Source organism: Homo sapiens, chromosome 19, assembly GCF_000001405.40.
Source record: "Homo sapiens chromosome 19, GRCh38.p14 Primary Assembly".
Classification (NCBI taxonomy): Eukaryota; Metazoa; Chordata; class Mammalia; order Primates; family Hominidae; genus Homo; species Homo sapiens.
This window is the reverse complement of record NC_000019.10, coordinates 30,587,719-30,610,461: the sequence shown is the minus strand read 5'-3', so window position 1 is coordinate 30,610,461 and position 22,743 is coordinate 30,587,719. Positions and strand designations below refer to the sequence as shown.

The window sequence follows — 22,743 nt, the reverse complement described above, 5'->3', positions numbered from 1 at the left end:
ACTTAGCCTCCCCCACCCAGAGGGGGAGACCCCCACAAGGACTGGCCACCAAGGGGGATCTGAAGTAATCCCCAAATGTGCCAGCCCAGCCTGCCATGTGAAGAAGTATCAGCTCTCCCAGCCTCTTGGAACTGCCCTGCCAGATGGAAATATGGTTGCCGTCACACCCTATCCTGTCCCAACACCACACAAAAGGCATTTATCATTTAGGTCCATGTTTTAGATCTAAGGAAACTAGAAACATTTTTATCATTAAAAAATGAGAAAATGTGTTGTAAGGCATTGTAACATCCACTATCCTTGCTTGTTACTTCCACTAGAAAGAAGTTTCTGAGGGCTGGGGATGTGCTTTTGTCTTTCCACAGTGCCTAGCATGTAGTAGATTCTCAATAAATATCTGTGACATGGATGGATGAGTGGATGGATGGCTGAATGCATGGATGGATGGATGGATGAATGGATAGATGGGTGGGTGGATGGTTGAATGAATGGATGGATAAGTGGATGGATGGATGGATGCATGGATGGATGGATGGATGGATGGATGGATGGATGGATGGATGGATAAATGGGTGGATGGATGGATGGATAAATGGGTGGATGGATGGACGGATGGGTGGATGGATGGATACATGGGTGGATGGGTAGGTAAATGGATGGATGGATGGATGGATGGATGGATGGATGGGTAGATGGGTGGATGGATAGGTGGATGGGTGGATGGATGGGTGGATGGATGGATGGATGAATAAATGAATAAACAAATGTCTTGAAGCACGGAGTTGTTTGATAGTGTACATTTGAACAACACTGATGGCCAACCTAACTATACAAGCTTCATTACAGGCCACTGCCATTAACCTCTTAATTATTTCAAAACTTTACAGCTAAGAAAACACTTTTCTTTACCACATCTTCTTGGGCCCTCACAATAGCTATGTCAGAGCCATGGCAAAAATTATTTCATTTGCCAGCTGCAAAAACAGAACTTCAAAGATGTTAAGGCCAGTCATTCAGTGCTTGAGAAGCAGAGTCAGGGGTAGAATTTAGCTCTACAAAAATACATTTGAAGTTCCTTATAACTAACCTCAAAAAAGTAATTAGAAATTGTATAGAAAGTGTCCAGAGGTGATTCTAGACAAGAGCTATTTTGTGGGTTTCCCTGAATCATATATTTGACCCTGTTTCCATTTTTCTATTGACTGATAGAAGGCTCAGATTCCAAAATGTAATCTTCCTCCTGGGGTTCAAACAAGTCTTCTTTTAATATTTGTGAGCATTCTTAATTCTCTCTAGAAGCTGAGATGGGGCAAGGGATTGCACTATGTACATGGAGAGCAATTGAATAGAAAAGTAGAAAATGCAATGATAGTCTAGAAGCAATCACTTTGCTAGCTGTTCCTATCCATCGAATTCAGCAAGCAGTTACCATGTTGTAGTGAACAAGCCAAGATGAGAGAGACACGTATGGGCCCTTTTGTCACCTGGACTTCTCCACTTCCGTGGCTGACTCCTGGCTTCGAGATGAGAGTCAACACATCTCCCAAGGGACTGCACTAGAGTTTTAATCTGGTCCAAGCTCCAAGGCAACATTCTGATTCCCATGCCCACTCCTTAGGCACCAAGGAAGCTGGTCACAATGTTCAGAGGGAGAGTGAAAGTCCTATATCTTCCTTAGCAAGAATCACAGGAGATTTCCACAACATAAGTTCACCCTGATGATCAGTGCTGGGCCCCTTGGAAACACACAACAAGAACTATGTGATCGAGACTCTAGATCTCCAAGCTGCTGGGGCCCAGTTCCTTAGAGCCAGGAACCTCACCCAGCCTGACTGTGCACTACACCAGTGTCTTCTATAGCCATCAACCAATATGGCTCATTCTAGGTCCCAGACTGGAATCAGGTAGCCTACAGCTGGGTAAAGAGCTGGCACCTCATAAAACCTTCAGGTAGGATTAGCCCTGGCCAGTCCAGGCTAAAGTTCTGGTGGATTCGTGTCCAGAAAGCTCTCATTTTGGTATGCATCATATCACCCTACACAAGTCTCCCGGGTCTCACATCTGCAGATGCCCATGAAAAACATTCACCTGCTTATTATCCCAAGAAGTGTTTACCTGCAAAAAAAAATGACCCTAGGTAAATACTTCCTGTGATGAGGTGAATAGGGACAAAGGACCACGATGCAGAGTAGAAATCCATTTCTTCTGCCCACAGTGATCTCCTGAAGGTTTCAAGATTCATTCTGGTCTGATACTTGAAAAAGTTTACTTCTGTGCTTGTCATACCATTTAGAATTTTGTAAATCTTGTTCCAAACAAATCCATTCAAAAAATCAATTGCAATTTCTCTTCAATGAATTTATTGTATAAATACAATTGCACAAATACGCAAAAGATATTTGGTGAAGTTTTGCATGAAATAACAAAATCTCACAACAATATCATATCCTGTATGGGTAAGCATCAATACCAGGTAGGTTAAATAATTTATTGTACATGGTCTAATAGAATACTATGCACCTGGTAACAATATAACTGGAGACTAAAGTCAATACTTCTACATCTGCCTCATTCTGTTTAAGTGAAAAAAAGCAAAGTGCAGAAAATACCTATTGTATGATCATTATATGATCACATTTTCAAAAATAATAGGACTATAAAGTAATGCATATACATATATATTTCTAATATGTTACACACATATGCATAGGGACTTTTTTCTGAAAGTATGTTACTTTTTTTTTTTTTTTTGAGACATGTCACCCAGGCTGGAGTGCAGTGGCATGATCTCAGCTCACTGCAGCCTCTGCCTCCCAGGTTCAAGTGATTCTCCTGCCTCAGCCTCCCGAGTAGCTGTGATTACAGGTGTGCACCACCACGTCCAGCTAATTTTTCTGTATTTTTAGTAGAGACAGGGTTTCACCATGTTGGCCAGGTTGGTTTCAAACTCCTGACCTCAGGTGATCTGCCCACCTGAGCCTCCCAAAGTGCTGGAATTATAGGCATGAGACACTGTGCCCGGCTACTTTTTAAAATATAATGAATTAAGGAGGGGACATGAAAGAAAGCTATTGATGAACAAAGAAGAGCGTAATTAAAATTAACAATGAGAATAATAATAAAAATATCCCCATCACAAAATGTCAATAGAAAGCCTCATTTTACACCAGTAAAAAACTCTAAAACAAAAAAAAGTTTCACATGAATTTTTAAAAAAACATTTGAAAGCAAGTTACAGCCACACTCAGCCATAAACAAGGTGTAGAAAGTATGATGGTATTGTGTAGGATCTTTTGTAAATAAGTTTGACAAAAATCTACGTCGAAGAGGTTTAGGGAGGTGAGGGGATCATTTGATCCAAGCTGCTCAGTTTGCAGATAAAGAACACAGTTTAGCCAGGGGCTGTCTGCATTGTGCAGAGATAGCCAGGTTGGTACAATGGCATGGCCTGGGGTCGTGAGAGCCAGCCTTCACACACATTCTGACATCCTCCCTTTCCCCTCCCTTCTCCACTCCACCTTTCTCCTGCTGGGGCCTCCACCAATAGCTGCCCCCAGTGTTCCATGATTCGAGGATTGACAAGAACCCTCTTCCTATGCAGCCACTTCTTTGATGGAGGTCATGATGTAGCCCTCTTTACGTACAGGAGGAAGCTGAGCTGCAACGTTCTCAGGATCACAGCTGGACAGGGCCCCTGCTGGATTGAAATCCACAGGATGGGTCTGCAGAGCCCAGACTCTAGCCACCCTCCCGTTTGTGCCTGGGAGTCAACTCAATTCACACTCAGGACCATTCTTCTCTGTTTCCTTCACAAAGTGTTACCTACCAATTCATGATGGAACTGTGGTCACCTAAGAAAGGGGACAACCAAACACCTTCAGGGTCTTGACTAAAGACTGGTGAAGTGGCCTCCCAACGGTGGAATAAACATGCCCTGCTTACTTCAGGTGGCTCAGCACCAACCCACGCCCTCAGAACTAAATCTGCACTCCATCTGGGAAACCCCCAACTCACTGCATCCCACCATGAAGACCAGAGGTTATGGGTTGCCCGTGACAGCTGAAAGCATGTAGCATCTAAAAATAGGAGGAGGTCCCTTTCAAAGCCTTAAGAGGTGTGTGTGTCCTTGCAGGCACTTTTATTTTTATTTTATTTTATTTTATTTTATTTATTTTATTTTATTTTATTTTATTTTATTTTATTTTATTTATTTTATTTTATTTTATTTTATTATTTTATTTTATATTTTATTTTATTTTATTTTATTATTTTATTTTATTTTATTTTATTTATTTTATTTTATTTTTAGAGATGAGGTCTCACTTTGTCACCCAGCCTGGAGTGCAGTGGCACAATCATGGCTCAGTGCAGCCTTGAACTCCTAGGCTCAAGCAGTTTTCCAGGAACATCTGCTCTTTCAATTTGCTGGTGACCTGGACATGGCCTCAGCTCAGTATCTCACAGAAGACTGGCTACCTGGATTCTTGGCCTCCCACCTCTAACTCCAGGCTTTTCAAATGGCCAAAGTCTTTCTGTCCTAAGTAGCAATTTGACTCCCTCAAAACCTGAAGCAGCACGGCTCCTATCTGAAGCCAGGGTCATAGAAGGAAGATGGGAATCTGTGTGATGGAAGTACATGGACTGTGAGCTGGTGATAGTCCCTGCCTGTCTGCAAGATACAGTGATGTCAAAAAACATCCTGCAGCTTCCTTAAAGAACTAAAAGGAGATCCACCATTCGATCCAGGAATCCCACTCCTGGGTATCTACCCAGAGGAAAAAAAGTCATTATATGAAAGACACCCACACACATGTGGGCTTATTGAAGCACAATTCAAAGTTGCAAAGATATGGAACCAACCTAAGTGCCCATCAACCAATGAGTGGATAACGAAAATACAGTATATATGTGCCATGGAATACTACTCTGCTATGAAAAGGAATGAAACAATGTGTTTTGCAGCAATTTGGATGGAGCTAGAGGCCATCATTTCAAGTGAAGTCACTCAGGAATGGAAAACCAAATACTGTATGTTCTCAGTTAGAAGTGGGAGCTAAGTAATGAGGATGCAAAGGCATAAGAGTGATATAATGAATGTTGGGGACTTGGCGGTGGGGGAGGTTTGGAGGGGGTCAGGGGTAAAAGACTACACATTGGGTATGGGGTACTCTGCTTGGGTGATGGGTGCACTAGAATCTCAGAAATCACCACTAAAGAACTTATCCCTGTAACCAAAAACCATCTGCACCCCCCAAAACTATGGAAATTTAAAACAAAAGAAAACAAACAAAAAAAGCATTTCGCACCATCCACTATTACCTTCCTACAGCATCAATGGCAGGAACATGTAGAATGAGTTCCTCCAGCGGAGACTGAGTTTTCCCATCTGTAAAATGGGGATAATGAGACCCCTTACCCAACAGAGAGACTGTGAGGATTAAATAAGGTAATGAATACAAGGTTCCAGCAGTGTGATCTGCTTTGTAGTGCAAGCTACGTGGACTTGTGCCTGCAAAACCTGCTGTCGCTGGAAGGACTCTGGCTGCCTTCCTGCTGTCCCTTCTCCAGAAGCCCCATCATGCAGAGTCATTCATGCACGAAGATTTCAGGGCCAGGGCTTCCTGACTCTGCCCCGAGCTTGCTGTGCAACCTCAGGCCAGTCACTCGCCCTCTCTGAATGTCCGTTCTTCATGTGAAAAATAAGAGTGTTGGCTTAATTACTTTAGTGGCTGGCTGCTTTTAAATCATTTCCCAAGACCCACAAACTCAATTTGTTGACAAGTTTTATTGACCAAGAAAAAGCATCTATTAGGTAATAACTGATTACTTTTCTCATGCTAACTCATCAAAGGCCTTTGTGGTGACCAGTTAGTGCCTCTGATCATAAAGAAAAAAACCAGTTATCCTGTGAAGCTAATAGCACTCCACAAAAACTCCTGACATAAAGCTCAACAGCTTTCTTGTTAAGGCTACACTGTGATTTTATTTTATATTTTCCAAAATGAAAACATATTATAAACATAATAAACACTCATTATAAAAGTATAAAATAATATGCAAATATATAGATAGACTTGGAATATAGACTTCAAAATGTTTCCATGAATAAATAAATCTTATAAATGTGAATATTTTTACAAAAATAAATTTTACTATATTTATATTTTCTGTAACTTAAAAAAAAGCTTAATAACATATTACTGGCAGCCATCCATGTGTATTCACAGAAATGTATTTTATTGTTTTAGCATCTTACCAGTCATTCAGTACATCACTATCCCTGTCCAGGCTGTTTCCAGTCTTCTACTATTGCATACCACACTGTGATGAGCATCCTTGTGGTTTACCCTGTGCACACTTTTTTTTTAAATTAAGATGGAGTCTTGCTCTGCCTCCCAGGCTGGAGTGCAATGGTGCAATCTCGGCTCACTGCAGCCTCGGCCTCCCAGGTTCAAGCGATTCTCCTGCCTCAGTCTTCAGAGTAGCTGGGATTATAAATGTGTGCCACCACGCCTGGCTAATTTTTGTATTTTTAGTAGAGACTGGGTTTCACCATGTTGGCCAGGCTGGTCTCGAACTCCTGATCTCAGGTGATCCACCCCCCTAGGCCTCCCAAAGTGCTGGGATTACAGGCATGAGCCACCGTGCCTGGCCTGTGCACATATTTAATTATTTGCTTAGTATTAATTTCTAGAAACAAAGTTGATGCTTCAAATCACATGTGCTTTTTTTAAAGAGACTTTACTGTGTACCACATTGTTTTATGAAATCACCCTTTGCAAATAACTTACTCATTTTTATTCCCATCACAGTATGCAAGATTGGTGCCCCCTCCTTGTTTTCCTTTCTAAAATTAATTTTTAAATTATATGTTTAATCATATGCACAATAATATCCATAGTGTTCAATAAGATAATAGTAGCAATAAAATGAATACCAAGATTCCCTTCACCTAGTTTGAAACAGAAACAGACTCCACACTATTTTTTACAGGTAAACAAGTGGCTTCTATTTGTTCGTTTAAAGAGATTTGAAAAGTTGTGAGACATCTGTGCTATCTCCATCGGATCTATGGCTTGGAAAATATAAGCCAGGTACCAGAAGTTTTGATAATCCTTATAATCACAAAATACTGCTATTTGTCCATCCATCCATCCATCCATCCATTCTTTCTTTCCTTTGTTTTCCTCACCATGTGTCTCTTAAGGCCTCTACTCTGTTTCAGGCACTGTGCCAGACCTGGGGGATTCGGGGATGACCAAAGCAGATACAGTTCTTATACTCCTGAGGCCTCCAGTCTAGAGTACTTGGCAGACGTTGAATATATGTATTAGCCCCAGATGCCTGTGTGATTATGATTCTGCCTTCCTGTGCTGCAAAGCACAAGGTAGAACGTCACACGGGCTGGAGGAGGAGGACCCACCTGGACACACCTCACAGACTGATGCCACTGATGGGCAACTAATACCTTCTCTCACTCTGGCGTCTAATCTCTCCTTGTTTGTCTGGGGGATGGGTACCGAAGTCTAGCTTGTTCCATCCACTGTAAAGATTTATTTAGTAGTATTATTTTTAAGCAGCTTTTCAAAGGCAGGATTAAGGTCTCTCAAGAGTACCCAGCCAGCCGCTTGCTCCCTGAATCCCAGGTCACAGCAGCCAGATTCCATGCAGAAAACACCTCTCCGCCTTTGCACAGAATTGACAGGATACTGGCACCTGGGATCCTCCCAATCTGAGACTGAGCTAGCACAAACCCTGCATCTGTTGCTCCTTGAACCCTGGAACTTCTCGGAATCGGTAGCCTGGATCTGGCCCCAAAATTCCAGCAAGATGAAAATATGCACACGTGGTCTTAGCAGGACCAGGCCATGGGACCTGAGCTTTCGGCATCACTGACTTCTTTACACAAGCAGGCTAACCTCTTGGAGAGAATAACAATATTACCCATCCAGTTATGACTTTTGGGTATCCATTGGGAAGCTGTTTGTCAAGGCCTCCAAATGTAGCTCAAAATAAAAATAAATGTATTGGGGTTGTATCCACGCAGCACAGAGCCCACAAGAATGGGAGCTGCACAAAAGTAGCAACTTCATCTGCCTTTTTTCCCATATAATCTCCACCAGCTTCACCAGAGGCTGGCGTAGAGCAGATACTCCATAAAGCCTTGTTGAAAGAAGAAAGAAGGAATCCAGACATCCAATGAGGATGTGGATACTCACCTGGATGTGAATCCAGGCAGCCAATGAGCAGATGTTCCATCACATGAGCAGATGTGAATATCCACCTGCCTTCCTATTCCTCATCATTGCATCAAAGTGAGAACCCAATACTTCATTGTGCACCCTAATTCGTTTTTTGATACCACTGCAGATAACGCTAATGGGTGGACTGAAGCTTTTCAGCAGAAGTTTGCAGTGTGCACAGCTTGAATCTCCTGCCTGGAGGCAAGTTGGGAATGAGTGGACCTTGCTTCCCAATGACTGTGGGGAGAGGACGTTTTCAATGCCCTTGAGCCACATGGCAAAGGCATGAAACACAGTTCTCACCCTGGCTAGCAAGTTCTAGAATGGGGTTTCTGAGTGTCTCAGGGTCCTGCTAATACCCCATCCTAGCCACGGTGCCACCACACCCTTCAGCATCACACAAGCAAACTGCAGGGCTTGGGAGAGCCACGTTGCCTTCAGCAGGACATACCCGTCCCAGACCCTTGCCCAGGAAACTGTCTTGACAGCAGGCTTCTCGGCTGGTTCCCCATAATTATGCCTCTTGCTGCTAGGTCTGAGAACGAGCTGCCCACCTTGCTTTGTGTTTCTCAGAGATGGGCCCCAGGAAGTGTTTCTAAGCACCTGTGGGAGTCAGGGGCCCATCTGAGGAGCTGATGGCATCTATAGGTTCCTTCTGATGGCAGAGATGCCCATATTCAAGTGTTACATGCAATTTAGGGGTTTCCTGCAGTCCCTGAAGCCATATGTGGGCCCTCCTAGCGTAGCCCAGAGACCTCAGACAGGCTCCCCCATCAGGGGCTGTGTCCCACAGGCTAAGAATGAGGGTCCTAATCCTGCCATGAATCTGCTGCCCACGTGACTCACGAACACGGACTTTCTAGAATGTGACCCCGATGCAGGCTCCCAGAGAGCCGTGGTTTTGTATGTTCACTGCTGGAGTCCCAGCACCCAGATTGCTGCCTGGGACTTGTAGAAATGTGGGGAAAAATCTGCTGGGATAATGGAGAATATGGTCATAGGTAAATCACTTTAGCTGTCTAGTCCTCAGTTTCCCCATATGTCAAATAAAAGTTTCCTTTTAAGTGAACTCTCTGGTATCTTCCGGCTCCCAGAGTTCACAATTTAGATTTCAGCGTCCTCACTGTGGGAACACAGGGAATATGGGGAGGAGCCCACTTCTGGCTTAGCACTAACCTCAATCTGGCCTGGAAGTGAGAGTTTAGACCTTTTACCCAAAGTCTTTCTCTAACCAACTCCATCAGTAAAAATCAGAAAGTAGTTGCTCAATTAACAACAAAAACAACGAATAAAACAAGCGTTCACTTTTCCAGGAATCAACGGAACAAAAGAACTCTTCTCAAGAGGCCCACACTCGATGCTTGGCAGAAATGCTTAAAGCCAAAGCCCCTGATGCCTGAGCTTTCTGAGGAGGTCTCTGCAAAGGGCTGATGCTATGCTCCAGTCTGTTACCAGCTACTTGCATACACATCACAGAATGGGGCACACACGCCTGAACGTTTGCACCACTGTTGGAAGGGACCCACTGCCTCAGCTCACCAGGGGTGCTGGCCAGGCTATGTCCTCCTCCGGGGCGCCAGTTTGCTGACCTACAATATGCCCCATGCTCTTCCTCCCTCAAATGCATGGCAGGTGTGTGTTCAATACATGAGGGAGGACACACTAGGACGTGGATGTGAGGAAGTGCCTGGAACCCTGGAACCATATAGATACATTCATGAAACGGTCAGCCTGTGGGGGCCCTGTCTCCTTAGCTCTGGCCTTGAGTAGCACCTAAGATCATGTTTTGGTTGTAGCTTTTAAAAATTAAGATTAATAAACAGCCGGCCAGGTGCGGTGGCTCACGCCTGTAATCTCAGCACTTTGGGAGCCCCAGGTGCATGGATTGCTTGAGGTCAGAAGTTCCAAGACCAGCCTGGCCAACATGGTGAAACCCCGTCTCTACTAAAAATACAAAAAATAGCCAAGCATGGTGGGGCATGCCTGTAATCTCAGCTACTAGGGAGGCTAAGGCAGAAGGATCGCTTACACTTGGAAGGTGGAGATTGCAATGAGCTGAAATCAAGCCAATGCAGTCCAGCCTGGGCAACAGACGAGAGAAACTCTGTCTCCAAGAATAAAAAAGTAAAAACAAAAACAAAAACAAAAAACAACAACAACAACAAAAAAAAAAAAACAGCTAGGAGCATTTGAGAGTAGAATATAGACCCAGAATCACCACTTTTTCCCCCAGTGACACTCCGTGGAAATTGTTGTATCATAAACACGACACACCCAATCTACAGCCAAGAATCAAACTCAGATTGGAGATTTGTCACTTAATTTTGGAGGGGACTCTACAGCTTTTCAGAAAATCAAAAGATGAAAATCCTGTGAGGCCACAAGACGGTCCATGAATAGGGCAAGATGCCTCAAGGTTGCCAGGGAAAACCTAGACAAATGTGCTTTGTGAAATGTACAGAACCTCATCAGGTCCTCGACTGTCTGCCATTGTTTTCCGCATTCATTGCTGCACTTGTAACTCTCACTTTTTATACGGTTAGAAAAGTATCTGCAGTCTCTGCCTTGTCTTGTAAAGGGAGGCCAGTGACACAAGTCTGAGCTGGGTCAGCCCATTTCAAGGTCACACAGGCCAGGCTCAATGGAGAAGGTTTGCTGAGTGGATATGCGAATGAATAGACAAGGGCTGGGGGAGGGAAGGAAGGTAGAAAGGAAGGAGGGAAGGAAGGAAGGAGGGAAGGAAGGAAGGAGGGAGGGAGGGAGGGAAGGAAGGAGGGAGGGGGAAGGGAGGGACGGGGGAGGAAAAGAGGAAGAAGGAAGGGAGGAAAGGAGGGACAAAAGATGGGAGGAGGAAGGGAGGGAAGGAGGGATCAGGGAGGGAGGAAGGAAAGAAGGAAAGGAGGAAGGAAAAAGAAATGAAGGGAGGTAGGAAAGGAGAGAGACAAGGATGGGGGAAAGGGAGGAAAGGAGATGGGGGAGGGGTGGAGGGAGGGGGAGGGAGGAAGAAGGGAGGGAGGAAGGGAGAGAGGAAACGAGACAGAGAGGAGGGAAAGAGGGAAGGGTGAGGGAGGGAGGAGAGAGAGAAGAGGAAGGGAGAGAGGGAGGGAGGGAGGAAAGGAGAGAGAGAGGAGGGAAAGAGGAAACAGGGAGGGAGGGAGGAGAGATGGGGAAAGAGGGAAGGAAGGGAGGGAGGGAGGGAGGAAGGAAGAGGGAAGGAGGAAGGGAGGAAGGAAGGGAGGGAGGGAAGGAGGGAAGGAGGAAGGAAGGAAGAAAGGGAGGGAGGGAGGGAGAAAGGGAAGAAGGAGTGAGAGAGGCAGGCACACAAGGGAAGGAGGAAAAAATAGTGAGGAAGAAGGGAAGGAAGAAAAGAAAAGAGAGAAGAAATTTTTCCCAAGAAATTGACTAGTAAACTAAGGAAACAAACCACTGCTATCCCCAAATTTAAATATAAACTATAGTATTTTTTTAGTTAGAACTTCAGATTAGAGCCTGTTGGTTTTTCACAATGAATCATAGAAAATAATGTTCCATGGGGTAAAATCACCATGTTTATCCAGATCAAAACATGGTAGAGTGAACAATTTTTCTGTGGATAGGAGTTGTCTAGATAGATGGAGTGGATAATTATGCTTCATTCTCCCTCCCCCACACCTCGCCATTTGTTTTGCTTTAATTTTGTCTTAATTACACAGAAAATTAAGAAGAAAGTGGAGTCCCTAGGTTTTTGAATAATCTAGACAATGATATATATTTGGTGTGGCTTTATAGAGGCGCTTTCAAAATTATTTATGTGGCTCAGAGTGGAGGGGATTTCGTGGGCACCCAGGTCTCTGCAGAGACTCTCCCTAGATGCAGACTTGGTACCAAGCCTTCCTTCTGTAAAGGTAAGTTAGGGAAGACAAGGGCATGTTACAGCAAAACTGCAGCTTCTGTAGCTAAGTTGGGTTGCCTGGGGAGGCTACTCTCACAGATGATAGAGCTGGAAGGTGCTTTGAAGTTTCTCCTGCTCTATTGCTGAGTTGCTGGAAGATAGGACAACCAGAAGCAAGACCAGGAGGACACGGCTCAGGGCCCTCCTTTATTCTTCAAGTCAAGAAGCTGGCGGGATATTTCAGCAGCTGGATTCACGATGCATGCCTACTCTGTGTCTGTTGCTCTAAGTACTGTGTACATGTGCATACAACAACACCATCAACAACAATGTATATACAACAACAACACACATAGCAATAATAACAACATGCATGCAACAATAACATGCATACAACAATAACTATATGCATACAACAATAACTATATGCATACAACAACAATGTCAAAATAATGTATACACAACAACAATACACATATCAATAACAACATGCATACGACAATAATAACAAATGCATGCAACAATAGTAACAACTATATGCATACAACAACAAAAATATGCATACAATATGCATAAAACAACAACAAAACTATGCATACCACAATAGCAACCATATACATACAATAATACTGACAGTAGCTATATTACTGAGCGCTTACTGTGTATTTTACATAGAGGTTGCTTTGCACTCATGAGTAACTATTATCCCTAATTTAGAAACCAAGACAGCAAGCAAATTGCTGGAGATCACACAGCTACAAAGCAGAAGAGCCAGGTTTCAGATTGTGCTCTTAATTATAACCCTACTATGCCTTCGTGTGTAGCCAAAGGCACAGTAGACTGAGATTTACAGAGCATCACCTATAGGCTGACTTCTGTGATGTCCTGCACTCCCATCAGCCCATAGAAGCCCATTCACTTCTCGGGCTAACCCTGCCAGGTGGGTGCTATTGGCCGTGTTTTCTAGAGGGGGATGCCCATGATGGCCCGGGTCAGGCCATCTGTCTGTTTGCCAAGCACGTGGCATTCTATTGCACAAGTAGACAAATGCCCTGTGTGTCCTGTTGTAAACTTGAGGAGAGTAGACCTATATATATATATTTAGACTAGACCTAAATAGCAGCGACTCAGTCAGGGTCCTAGGGGGACCATCCCACAGAAGTTGGGGGAACCTGAGAACTGGGCATGCATGCTTGCGCACTGGTGCAGGGATCTTTCCCAGGGACAGAGATCTTTCAAGACTAAATGCCTAGACTGGTCAGCCTAGCACATTTAAGGGATTAAGTAACAATTGAAAGGTTCCCTCCTCTTTTACTTAACATCACAGGAAGCCAGAAAGCCTCAGAACCTGGGAATTCGCTATTAGCATTGCAAAAGAAAACAGCCCCAGAAAGCGATGGGCTCCCCGAAAAGGTCAGATCAGGTGGAGAGAGAAGCTAGTCCAGTAATAAGAGAGCCTCCTTTCGCAGGAAGGACTTTTTTTTTTTTTAGCTAAAAAAAGAGATTGCAGCAGATGAAATCTGCCTCATCTCACAGCCTCATCTAACCTATGTGGTCATCAGAACCCCCCTCCCACACACACACACACTCGCAAAAAAAGTTTCCTTAAATATTGCACGGCCGACTACTTTGCAAAGATTCTTTATCCCCATGGAACATTACTACTTTTTTTTTTCCCTTTTTGCAGCTTTAGAAAAATAGATAATTACTTCAGTTAATTTCAGCAAAACAGTTCAAACTCATCAGGGCTGAACAAGTATAATTTACTGCTCCTTCTGACTTATTGTTGTGACTAGATGTGGATTGATGATTAAAGTGGTAAACAGTAACATTTCTGTAAAATGGCTGACTCCGCTGCTGGCGTGTCAGGGGAGACACCTGCCCCAATGGCTGTGCCGCGATTGTCACTGTGCTCAAGGCTGTCAACAAAGAATATAAGTATTTGACAAGGTGTTATCTAATTGTGTTTTTAAAAGCCACGATACATACATCTTTTAATGTGTCACTTTAAGCAGCCAGAGACGTTCTTTTATTAAAAAATACAAAGGAAAAATGAATGCCTTGCATTTTCTTTTTTTTTCCCCTCTCCCTCTCTCTCTGTATTTTTTTTTCTCCTTTCCCTTTCCAAGCTCTGCCCTTTTGCTGTCATTCAGTGGAATATATTTTGCTTTTTAGTCAAATTGGCTTTTATTTAATTGTTGCCCAAAATAGCTCTGCCACATTAGGTCTATAAGAAGAAAGAACAGTATGTCCCGCAGACGATCTTTGCTTTGGCCCTGGTGGGAATTAGCCCATGGTCACAGAAAGCAAAGAACAAACCCTTTTGGATGCTCTTGGAGCCTTAAAGTGAGGGGTCCATGGGGGCTTCTCTGGGTCCTATAGAAGTGGGGCTGCCCTGTCTTCACCCTGCTCCCCACTGCACCCCCTCTCCTTTCCCAGGAGTTGTCCCTCTTCCTCCCCTGGGACTCTCATGCTTGCTTTCCCCTTTCCCTGCCTCTTATGTCCTGACACTAGAAAGGCTTGTTTCAGAGACTTCAACTCTTGAGGCAGACAGGTCTCCACACTCCAGGAAGTCAGGGAAAGGCCCTGGGCCCACCCAACTAGAACTATGCAAGTCAATGGTCCCCTACAGAGTTGGGGTCTTGAAAGAGCCAGAGAGAAGATTCTATCCACAAAAACTGCTTGGAGAAAGCAGGTGGTGGTTTGGGTGGGAGAGCAGTTCGAGGTACAAATAACCACAGTTCAAGAACATTGAGTTCTGGCCAGGCATGGTGGCTCACCACTGTAATCCCAGTGCTTTGGGAGGCCAAGGTGGGAGGATTGCTTAAGGCCAGGAGTTTGAGACCAGCCTGGGCAACATAGAGAGACCCCATATCTACAAAAAAATTAAAAAATAGCCAGGCATGGGGTCATAAGCCTGTAATGCCAGCTACTCGGGAGGCTGAGGCCAGAAGACAGCTTGAACTGAGGAGATCAAGGCTGCAGTGAACTATGATGTCAACACTGTACTCCAGTCTGGGCAAGAGAGAGAGACTCTATCTCTTAAAAAATAATTAAAAAAAAGAACCGTGATTTTCACCACTGTTGCCAGCTCCCAAGTGATGGAGGGAGGGTAATAAGGCAATGGCCAACCCCTGAGCTCCACATGGGGAAACGAAGGTCTCCAATCACAGTGAAAGCAGAGGGCCAGGCCTGGAATTCAGACTAGCTGAACTACTCTGGCCTGGCTGGCCCAACTTCATTGTGCCTCTCCTGGCTCTGGCTTCCTTGGCCACACTTTGAGACCTACCTCTGTGCGGTGCCCACTGCAGCCACCTGCACCTTGGGTCCCTCCTGCCCAAGCAGGATGCAGAAGAGCCTCCTCCTGGAAGAACTCAGTGCTGCCAGGGCAGCACTGAGCACACAGGCATGGCTCCCCTGGGTTGGCCTTCGGGGCAGCTGGGGGACAGAGGTTTCCAGGAGAGGGGGTGCCTCGAATCCCACACCTTACATCCACACCCGGTCCTCCTGCACTGCTCCTCTGTGCCAGCGTGGCTCAGACGTTGGCCTCGGCTGTCACTAAATGGAATGCAGGATCCAAGCAGCGGCTTCTCGCAGGGGAAACAGGAGAAGAGTGGGGAGGGAGGAGGCAGCACAGGCCGGCTAGCTGCAGCCAGGGAGGGGAGCAGGACCCCTCACCCAGGGGGTGCCCTGGTGTGCCCCCTGCCTCTCTCCAGCAGGCTCCACGGGGGTGTCCTGCAGACGAGCGCCTAATGATCTGGTCAAGGCAGCTATTTAATCCATCATAGTCAATGTCATGTGGTGAGTCAAGCAATTTGTTACCAGTTATGCAAAAAAGGCAGCAGCTAGTGCTGGAGGGAGGTAGGGAGAAAGGCGGCAGGCAGGTCACCACTTTCACACGGGGAGCAGGGGGAGACTGAGGAGGGAAAGAAGAGGGGAGGACCTGTGGCCTGACTCCCAGGGTCCCCAGCCTAGAAAGCAGCCCTGGAAACCAGCCTGGGACAGGCCCTGTGGCCTGGCCCCTGCCTTTCTGCACATGCCCTCAGAAAGTACACAGAGGTGCACAAGGAGAACCTGGCTGCTGGCCGTGTATGGACAGATGCTGGGTCAAATAGGCATTTCCTGTTCCTGGGCATGGTGACAGCTATACGTAAGATGAGGTCCAGGGCAAGTGACTCTGCGCACTCCAGGATTGAACGCCTATTGATTGTGCTTCTGGGGAATGCAGAGAAAGGTCCCTGGATCACTCATTGAACTTTGGTGTTTGATATTATATATGCAGTGCAGCTCTTGGTAGCCCCATGGAAGACATTCCACGTGGCATAGAGAGGATGAGACTAAGAAAAGGGGACATGGGACAGACTCTGAGGCTGGCTTGTCTCCAAGGACAATCAATGAGATCTTTAAGTCTAGACTCTTTTTTCCTCTTCTTCTCAGTGTCTACAAGGCTCTACTTTGAAAAGTCCACTCCATCTAGCAATCTAGCCATCTCATCCTCTCCAAAGTGCCTGAAGACCAGCCAGGCTGGCAGACCCCAGCTCTCAAGGCCAAGGAGATAGCCTTGATACCTTGGAGGTCTCTGTCAGTTGGGTGAATGACCAGCCCTTGTCCTGATAGCTTTTCTCTGTTCTTAGAGTCCTAAATTTCCAAGGGGGTGGGTGAGGGGCAGGGAGGAGAGGGAGAAACAAAGACAGCAAAACTCTGTTGCCCGCGGACTCTTGCCAGGTGGGGTCAGAGCCAAGGCTGCCTCGCCAAAGACTAGAAGAGTTTTGCTTTGCCAAAGAGTCACAGCCGGGTGTGCTGGGCCTGCCTACCTTTTTAGGAAATGCTCCATTTCAGAAAGTAGAAGTCATTCATAAGAGCCAGGCCTGAGGGCTGCTGGCTGGGTGTGGCCTGTCTGCTGCTGAATTCACAAGAGCTAGCCAGAAGGTTTGGAGAACCTGCCCCAAATCTCTTCCTCTCTGAAAAATCGGGCAATTTATCCCCAGCACAGTGGATGGCCTCTTAGTGAAGACCCTGAAGTCAGCCTCATGAGGTTCCTCCCTCACTGCTCAGAGACCCACTGCCCACAAAGGGTTTTGGTCACAGCGCAAGGAAGCTGGGGTTGGCCTGAAATTGCATCTGATACTGACAAGCAGAAAACCAGGAGGAGCTGCGAGATGGAAGAGAGCAGCGAGAAAGAGGCCGGAGCGAGGTAGGCCTCCAGTTGTGGGTATTTCTGACCAGTTTGATGGTTTTCACACAGCCTCTCCTCTCTGATCTGCCACACTTTCATTATAAATACCTGACAGCGTTTGCACGAAAGGATCTTTTTACAACAGGTCTAATGAAGGGTTCGGCTCCAGGTATATGGGAGAAGATGCTGGACTTGATGATGGCTTCTAAATGGTATGAATGTGAAAAACCTCAGAAAATAATAAACACATTTCAAGCGTTATACCTGTTTATTTCACACTTTCTTTAATATACCAATTATTCATGTAACACCTAAGTGAGAAATGCGCTATATCTAGCAATCACTTACAAGAATTTGCTAAACAGTAGCACAGCGGATATGTCCATCACCCGATCATTTATCTTCCTTCTATAACCGTGAACTTGCTGGCAAATGGGGGGTAAAGTTGATTTAATCTTTGGGCTTAGAAAAAAAAAAAAACCCAGAAGATATTTGTGATTATGAGACATTTGCTTTTCATTTCCACAGCCAGTTAGGATTCACAAACATGAAAATCCATTATGGAATGGTGTATAAACTGTGACCACGTCTTGTTCAGTCAATTAGTGAGCTGAGCCCGGGTGTGCTGCTTATCTGATAATCTGCATCTTTAGCTTGACAAAAATAAAGAAAATATTCAGAGATGGGGTTTAGAGCAAAGGAGGCCTTGGTTCATCCAGCCACACTTTGTATCCAGACACCCACATGCCTGACCCATTTTCTTTCCACATCCTAAAAATGGGTCTAACAAAAGAAGGTGATCAAATAAGTTGCCGGAAGGGGAAAAATGGAAAAAAAATCCCACTGCATTCCTGGGGTGTTGGGTACCCCTTAATTTAAACAGTCTCTCCATATCCTACTACTTGAAACCCTTTGTGCTGCCTCGATACCTTTATACAACACCAATGGATAATTTATCCCAAAATGGATGCTATTTTTGCTTTGCAAGAATTTGATGCATAGTGACTTGTGCATGGAAATTACTCTGCACATCTGTATTCTGATTATGATATTTAGTGCAAGGGTCATGAATAATAATATTGCTAAATATGCTTGTTGCCATCTATAAATAAAGGTTATCACACTAGAGAAGGTTTTGTTTTGGAGTGGCAGAACAAGGCAGGTTAGTTGCAAGACAATAGACCTTTAATTTTAATATGAAAATAAATACTTAAATTTATAAATATTCAAAAGATTTCCAAAGTGCAGGAGAAACATATCCATACCTAGTCAGTATGTGAGTACTAAGCTTTCCAAACTGCACTGAGAAAGTTTTCCAAGGCCACCTTCGTAGAGTTGAAAAGGAATTCTGAAGGGTGGTGCCCCTCTCCAAGGGATGTGTTTCTCTTGTCCTTCAATAAAATTATAGTTGGCAATTGAAAGTCCAACACAAACTATTTTCTTTCCTCAAACTGCTCCAGCAACCCATCAAAGCTGGCTGTGACTCAGAGAGAAAGGACACTGTGAAACAGTGGAATGGGGTGGCCAAGGAACAGTGATAGGATTTGGCTGTGTCCCCACCCAAATCTCACCTTGAATTGTAATAATCCCCTCATGTCAAGAGCAGGGCCAGGTGGAGATAATTGAATCGTGGGGGCAATTTCCCCCATACTGTTCTCATGGTAGTGAATAAATCTCACAAGATCTGATGATTTTATGAACAGGAGTTCCCCTGCACAAGCTCTCTCACCTGCCGCCATGGAAGACATGCCTTTGCTTCTCCTTTGCCTTCTGCCATGATTGTGAGGCCTCCCCAGCCATGTAGAACTGTGAGTCCATTAAACCTCTTGCCTTTATAAATTACCCAGTCTTGGGTATGTCTTTATTAGCAGCATGAGAACAGACTAATACAAACAGCCTGGGAGAGAAGGCAGTGGCAGTCCTGCACAAGTGTGAACAGTAAGGACACCCTCGGATCCCTGCCCTGACATCTCAAACATAACCATTGCTATATAAGAAAAATGGCCACTTTTCCTCTGCTAGTATCTACTTCTGGTCTGAATTCTCTTCCACCAAATGAGTGGGTGGCATTTGTCTTCATCATCCCTTTGAATTATCAGTTGTCTGTTGACATTGATCCAACAGTCTGGGAAGCAGGCCAGCTGTGCTGGGCTCTCCCAACCATACACATCTGGGCCATGCACAGGCCAGTGTGATTCAGGCCACACCAGAAGTCCTTGGTCTTCTCCTTTCTGCAGGTGCCCTTTGCCCCTTGCCAGTTTCTTGCCACCTGGGAAGGTTAGCAACCATCCTTCCCAAGGACTGGCCTTCCCTTCAACAGCTGGACATCTAAGAGGCTTTGTTTTATAAATGGGAACCACAGAAAACAAACACCAGAACTGGAAGCATCCTCTGAAGCAATCAAGTCCAAGCCTCTCACTCTGCAGCTGGAGGAACTGGCCCCAGAGACTGAAAGGGGCTCTGTGAGGTCACAGTACAGTGAGACCTGGACTCCAGTCTTCTGCCCCACATCTCCACTCCTCCTGGAACTGAAACAATGGGTGCTTACTTCCAGCTCTGCAAGTGGGCTGCAGGCTGTGATGCAAGCTCATAGCACACACAGAGAAAAAAGAGGTTAAAATCCATAGGACCTTTTTACAGAGACAGGGTGAAACACAAAGAAAGAAGCTCTTGCTTTCCCCAAACAAAGGAAAGACAAAGGCTTTGAAGGCCAAGAAAGCCTTGCTGAAAGGCATTGGAAGCCACAGAAAATGTGCATGTCACCCACTCTCCTTTGCCCAAGACACCAGGGCCCAAGTGCCCTAGGAAGAGAGGCCCCAGGAGGAACAAGCTTGACCATAAGGCAGCTGCCAAGCTACCCCTCACCACAAGTCAGCCAGAATGTGAGGACAACAGCACTTGGGTGTTTATTCTTCAATTCCATGTCCAACATTGATGGATGCCAGAAGGACGCCCACCAAGTATCCCTCCACTGAGGGGGTCAAGGCTCACACTCACCAGATCAGAGCCCATGAAGAACCTCCATGGGTTGACATGGCCAACATCAACACCGCCCAGGCCTGCTGGAGAGAAGGAGGCACAGGCCCAGCTCTCTCCAGCCATCACACTTTGTGAGTCACCAGAACAAAAGAGGATCATCTGGATGGAGCCCAGTGGGCTGGTTCTAAATATAATCAACATTTTACTATCTTTAAAGATGATCCTCTGGGGATAGATGCTAGAAGTGTCATGCTCATATCCCCCTCCACATGGCACCCCTAGACACCAAAGTCTGCATAGAGGGAACCCCTGGGAATTTCTGTCTGCAGACATTTTTCTAGTGATGAAAATACACTCAGGCTGCACACAGGGCAGGCTGGAAGTGCCAGAGGGTTAATTCCACTACAAGCAACCCTCCATCAATGATGGATACAGAGTTGAAGAATGAACACCCCAGCTTCCTTGCTGCTCCACTGGGTGGACTCTAAGCCCAGCTCTACCTTGTCCCCCAGTGCTGCTCACTATGGTGACCAGCTTGGTAACACACCCTTCTTTTTGCTTTGCTTTTTGTCCTTGCTTCATTTCTTTATCCCCTACCTGTGCTTCCTGAGATCACCCCCAAATAAACAGTTTGCACTCCATTCTCAAACATCCATAACCTGAGGGCTGCCAGTAGAAGGAGGTAATCGGTTTCAACAGCAACAACAGTTCAAGAAAAACATGGTTGTGGGTGGACTCCTCAACTTCAAAAGAAAATAATCAAAAGAAAAGAAAACCCTCTTCTCATTGTTCAAGCAACCTCTTAAACCAAAGTGTGGCTCTATTGTTGCTATCTCCAGCAGGAAGAGTCAACATCGCTGCCTTTCATGGCCTGTAAGAGCCAACAGAGGGTCTAGGGCACAGAATCCTGGAATCAGAGGGACCTCGGGCAATGCAGAGCCTTTCTTCCATGGAAACCATGCAGATGGTTGCAACCAACACAAAGAGCAGATGCAAATACAGATGGTGGTAACCGATGCAAAGAGCCCTCCCAAGCATGGCCCTAGGGTTGGAAGGTGATAATTAATAGGAGGTTCCTTCCTATTGAGAACCAAAATCTAATGTCCTCTAACTTTCTCTAAATCCCTCTTCTCAGGTCTCTTGGGGATTCTCCAGCACATTCAGAAACACCCCAGCTCCCTTTCACCAAGTCTGAATAGCTCTATTCTTTTGGCCACACCTCACATCCCAATGTTTCCAAAACATGCTTGTCTTTAGAATGCTTCTATGACGCTTGCCATATTCGCATGTCACCTGTACTATTATTTCCTTACTTAAAAAAATAACTAATTCTTTTTTATTTTTTAAGAAAATTTATTCCAAAAGGAAGCTCTATAACTGAACCATAAACGGAAGCCCAGGAGTACTCAACATAATTAGAAAATATTCACACAAATAAAACAATGAAAACATGAGAGTGTTATTAAACACCAGCTAGAAGCAATTGCCTGAAAAGGTTCTGGGCCTAAGACCTTCTCTCTCTGGGTTAAAAACTGTGATGAGCAAATGTTGGAGAGGTGTTAAAGGCAGAGCAGCACCAAACTGATACTTTCTTCTTGGTTTGGATCAGAAAAATTAGAAAAAAAATGGAAACAGGAATGCATTTCCCATGATGTTTGTGTGCAACTCCCTGTGTGAGTGGTCCCCTCACACAGGGAAACTGCCACCTCATGTGCTTCAGGACCTCCCATCCTCTTGCTTCTCCCCATTGGCTGGCCTTAGTCTGCCAATCTCCTCCTCAAAGGGGTCAACTGGGGCCAAACAGGTAGGACCTTGTCCCCCTCACTGACCATGGTGATCAGGACCCTCAATTCCTACTAATGCAGTCATGACCACATATGTATCTAAAGAGACTCTGGGCTCAGGGCTGTACCTGGCATGCCACTGCCGTGGTGATGCTCAACAGTTAGGTGACAGAACACTCTGCTTTTTCTGCTAGGGTGCTGTCTGCCAAAATGACCCCAGACCACCATATGAGCCAGTAAAGATCAGCGCCTAACAATGTGACCTCCAGCCCAGCAGGTGCATCTGTGATTCAAAGCACAGCTGCCGCCTGAGGGAGCTCACTGGGAAGCCACGTGTTGCTCTGGGATGAAGACTGAGTGCACTTTGCAGCTGGGGCCTATGAGATCTAGAGGGACTCCCACAAGAGGAAGAAGAGTGCCACAAGTGGCAAGGCCATGCATGCACCAACTGATTGCAAGACGTTAGTAAACAGAAGTGCCTTTTTAATGCACCAATTACAGAAGCAACTTCAACTTAACCTTCTGGACCTCAGACTGAGCACTGCTACAGGCTGCAAATTTAATGGGGAATAAGCAGGTCAGAAAGGGTTTGCATGCATGCAGGCTCCGGGCTTCTCCCTCGTCTCTCATAAAGCATGCCTCGACTCGTTTAGCTCTGCAAGCACCACTCCCATGGCCAGTCTTCCAGGG

The 22,743-nt window shown here is 45.4% G+C and overlaps 1 protein-coding gene across 31 annotated transcripts in view; it reads right to left on the bottom strand.

The window, feature by feature from the left end:
• Positions 1 to 22,743, bottom strand: part of ZNF536 (zinc finger protein 536) — a 487,995-nt gene that overhangs the window by 103,125 nt on the left and 362,127 nt on the right. The gene's annotated exons all lie outside the window — the stretch shown is intronic.